This window comes from Homo sapiens, chromosome 12, assembly GCF_000001405.40.
Source record: "Homo sapiens chromosome 12, GRCh38.p14 Primary Assembly".
NCBI classification, from domain to species: domain Eukaryota; kingdom Metazoa; phylum Chordata; class Mammalia; order Primates; family Hominidae; genus Homo; species Homo sapiens.
Window position 1 is genome coordinate 61,581,844 of NC_000012.12, and position 4,037 is coordinate 61,585,880.

Consider the following 4,037-nt stretch of genomic DNA (forward strand, 5'->3'; position numbering starts at 1 on the left):
ATGCAGAATCTCAAGTCCCATCTAGACCTACCAGAACTGACCTGTGGTGTAATAAGGATCCCAGGTGATTCCAACGCTCACTAAGGTTTGAGACACTCTGGCAAAGACAGCAAGCTCTGGAGCCAGACTACTAATAATGGCATTTCAGCACTGTGTTTGTTCCAGGAAAGGGGTCCCAATCCAGACCCCAAGAGAGGGTTCTTGGATCTTGCACAAGAAAGAATTCAGGGTGAGTCCGCAGTGCAAAGTGAAAGCAAGTTTATTAAGAAAGTAAAGGAATAAAAGAATTGCTACGCCATAGACAGAGCAGCCCCAAGGGCTGCTGGTTGCCCATTTTTGTAGGGACAAGCCCCACAGGGTCGGTGGGTCTCTCCCCGTGTTCAGAGATGAGAGAGTGTAGAAATAAAGACACAACACAAAGAGATAAAAGAAAAGACAGCTGGGCCCGGGGGACCACTACCACAAATGCACGGAGACCGGTAGTGGCCCCGAATGTCTGGCTGTGCTGTTATTTATGGGATACAAAGGAAAAGGGGCAGGGTAAAGAGTGTGAGTCATCTCCAATGATAGGTAAGGTCACGTGGGTCACGTGTCCACTGGACAGGGGGCCCTTTCCTGCCTGGCAGCTGAGGCAGAGAGAGAGAGGAGACAGAAAGACAGCTTATGCCATTATTTCTGCATATCAGAGACTTTTAGTACTTTCACTAATTTACTACTGCTATCTAGAAGGCAGAGTCAGGTGTACAGGATGGAACATGAAGGCAGACTAGGAGCGTGACCACTGAAGCACAGCATCACAGGGAGATGGTTAGCCCTCCGGATAACCGCAGGCGAGCCTGACTGATGTCAGGCCCTCCACAAGAGGTGAAGGAGCAGGGTCTTCTCTAAACTCCCCCGGGGAAAGGGAGACTCCCTTTCCTGGTCTGCTAAGTAGCGGGTGTTTTTCCTTGACACTTTTCGCTACCGCTAGACCACGGTCCGCCTGGCAACCGGCATCTTCCCAGATGCTGGTGTCACCGCTAGACCAAGGAGCCCTTCTGGTGGCCCTGTCTGGGCATAACAGAAGGCTCGCACTCTCGTCTTCTGGTCACTTCTCACTGTGTCCCCTCAGCTCCTATCTCTGTATGGCCTGGCTTTTCCTAGGTTATGATTATAGAGCGAGGATTATTATAATATTGGAATAAAGAGTAATTGCTACAAACTAACGATTAATGATATTCATATATCTAAGATCTATATCTGGTATAACTATTCTTGTTTTATATTTTATTATACTGGAACAGCTTGTGTCCTCGGTCTCTTGCCTCGGCGCCTGGGTGGCTTGCCGCCCACACATTTTTATGGTTATTTCTTGATAATATGCTAAACAAGAGGTGAATAATGCATTCTTCCTCTTTTTAGACCTGATAGGGTAACTTCCTGACATTGCCATGGCATTTGTAAATTGTTGTGGTGTTGGTGGGAGTGTAGCAGAGAGGACGACCAGAGGTCAGTCTCTTCACCATTTTGGTTTTGGTGGATTTTGGCTGGCTCCTTTATTGCAAACTGTTTTATCAGCAAGGTCTTTATGACCTGTATTTTGTGATGACCTTCTATCTTATCCTGTGACTTAGAATGCTTTAACCATCTGTGAATGCAGCCCAGTTGGTTTCAGCCTCATTTTACCCAGCTCCTACGTAAGGTGGAGTTGCTCTTGTTCACACACCTCTGACATGTTCACTACAGCTAAGAAATTTATGTTATCACCAATTTTATGTGTGTGTGTGTGTGTGTGTATGAGGAAACAAGGCAATGAGCAGTAAAGTAACTTCTCCAAAATCACAACGCTAATAAATTGAATCAGGAAGTTAAATAAAACAAGTTGAAACCCTAACTCTGTTGCTTACTGCTAGCTGAACTTAGCAAGTTACCTACGCTTTCTTAGTCTGTTTTCTCATTTGAAAAATCGGTGTCATAGATACATCCTATAGTTGTTATATTGATTAAATTATATACAGAAGCATATGCACAAATATTATTTATATTTACAACGTTTCCAATTGTCTCTGAAAAAAAATAGTCATCCTATTCAGAAATATATTTAATCATCACTATGGTAGATAAGAGTTGTGAGATGTGAGTGACGGTAACTCCAACAGGAGGTTTATGAAACAGTACTAAGGAGAGTGTCCTTAATCTTCAGATCTTTGGTTGTGGTAATACATGATATATTCCAGGGACACAGACTAGAGAAAAAAATTGACAGATCAGAGACATCAGAGAGGAAAGGAAAGAAGTCAGGGAAGAAAGTGCTTAAAGGAGCATTTTTAATTGCCAGTTATCAAATGTTTTTGATTTAATATTTGTATTTATCAAACCCTCAAGTGCTTTAGGTTAGTATAATTTATCATTTTATCATGATTTTTCACTTTAGGGTTTCCTTTTATTTTGTTTTGTCTTCCTTTCTTTCCTTTCTTCTTTTTTAGCCAGAGCTTTACTCCGCAGGGTAGAAGAAGATGAGAGAAATAAAAAGGTAGAACCTGTTGAGAAGCTGTGAGGTTAAAATCATGTTCCTAGAATTCTGATACTATACTAGGCTTGCCAAGCCATGAAGCAAACTGAGAAGTCTCCTGCAGTGTTTTCAAAGGAACCAGATACAAAAACAATCTAAAAACAAGCAGTATGAGATGTGACAGACAACATGCTGCTGCAAAGACGTTCCTTCCCTTTAACCCCGACACACATACCCTATATGAGGGCCCACATTCAGCCCTCCACATAAACACACACACACGCACACACACGTGTGTGCAAACATGCGTGCACTGTCTTATATACCCTCCTTATCTGTCTGTTCCTAATATATTGCTTTGCTGGCCACCGGACTAGAGGTTCTGAAATTATACTATATGGAATACATATGAAAAAGAAAACAAAGTTGATTTAAATTTCCTCTGAAATACATTTTTGTTTTGAAATCTATCACCAAGCACATGTAACACAGGCATCCTACAGAGCAGGCTGGGAAGATTGTTGGGGTTCTCAATACCGTTTGAACCACCAATTTCCTAATTATCACCTACTTACTACTTCTTAGAATGAACCTATTAGTGTATTTTACAATATTAATAGATATTTTATTAGCTATTATGTTTTAGAATTGCTTTTTATATAAAAGCCGTGCACTAACTATGTCATCCCATTGATCTTACCTCAATGTGCTCCTTACAGTCATCTCAAATGGCTAATAACTTGCTAATATAACTTTACAGGTACATTTTGTACCTTTCTCTTCACCAATTGTGGACATACCAGCTCATTAAACACTGTGAAAGAACACAGGCTAAAGCCCTTTCTTTTAACAAGCCAGTGGTGTGAAACCAAAGTCTAAGCCCTTGTTCTGTAATGATCTTGATGCACCCCCTCCACAATACCAGGAGGTAGGATGTAGGGAGAAAACATCTCAGAGAGCTGCTTCCACAAAGGATGATTAATTTTTGGTGGTATTTCTAAAGTTTTCTTTTAGATGTTGCTTTAATCTTTTAGATGTTGCTTTAATCTTCCCATTCATATCTTGGGTCATTTCAAAGCCTTGTCGGTACTGTTGGCTGGCTAAATGAAAAGCATAACAAGGTCAACTGTTGAACAATGAAACTTGTGTCAAGGCCCAGTTACACATTAATATAACTTGTTCTAGCCCATATCTACTCCTAACAACACATAAAAGAACAACAATTTGCTGTCATTTGGCAAAATAGCATCAAGGATGGTGTGACTGCAGAAATCCTCATGGAACAATGATCGCTAACACAGTTACTAACTATAAAACAGGATTTTTCTATTTTCAGTGGTCCTTGTGAGTGCATATCATTATTTGGGGGTTAAGTTGGAATGAAAGGTGTTTGCATTAGTCCCAACCATTTAATAAACTGCTTACAGGTAGGAAAGAAATATGCCTGAAATTGTTTATATACTCAATAAGAAAATAGAGCCAGTGAACAGTAGAACCAAAAAGAATTCAGTAGATTCTCTTACTGAATTTACCATATATTTATGTA

General features: G+C 40.6%; 1 annotated feature.

Moving 5' to 3' along the window:
• Positions 282-494: a silencer, noted in NCBI's record as "fragment chr12:61975906-61976118 (GRCh37/hg19 assembly coordinates)". NCBI's record gives its function as "represses an EF-1alpha promoter that drives an FKBP-Casp9 reporter gene in an ReSE screen in K562 erythroleukemia cells {active_cell/tissue: K562}" and the evidence as "EXISTENCE:reporter gene assay evidence [ECO:0000049][PMID:32094911]".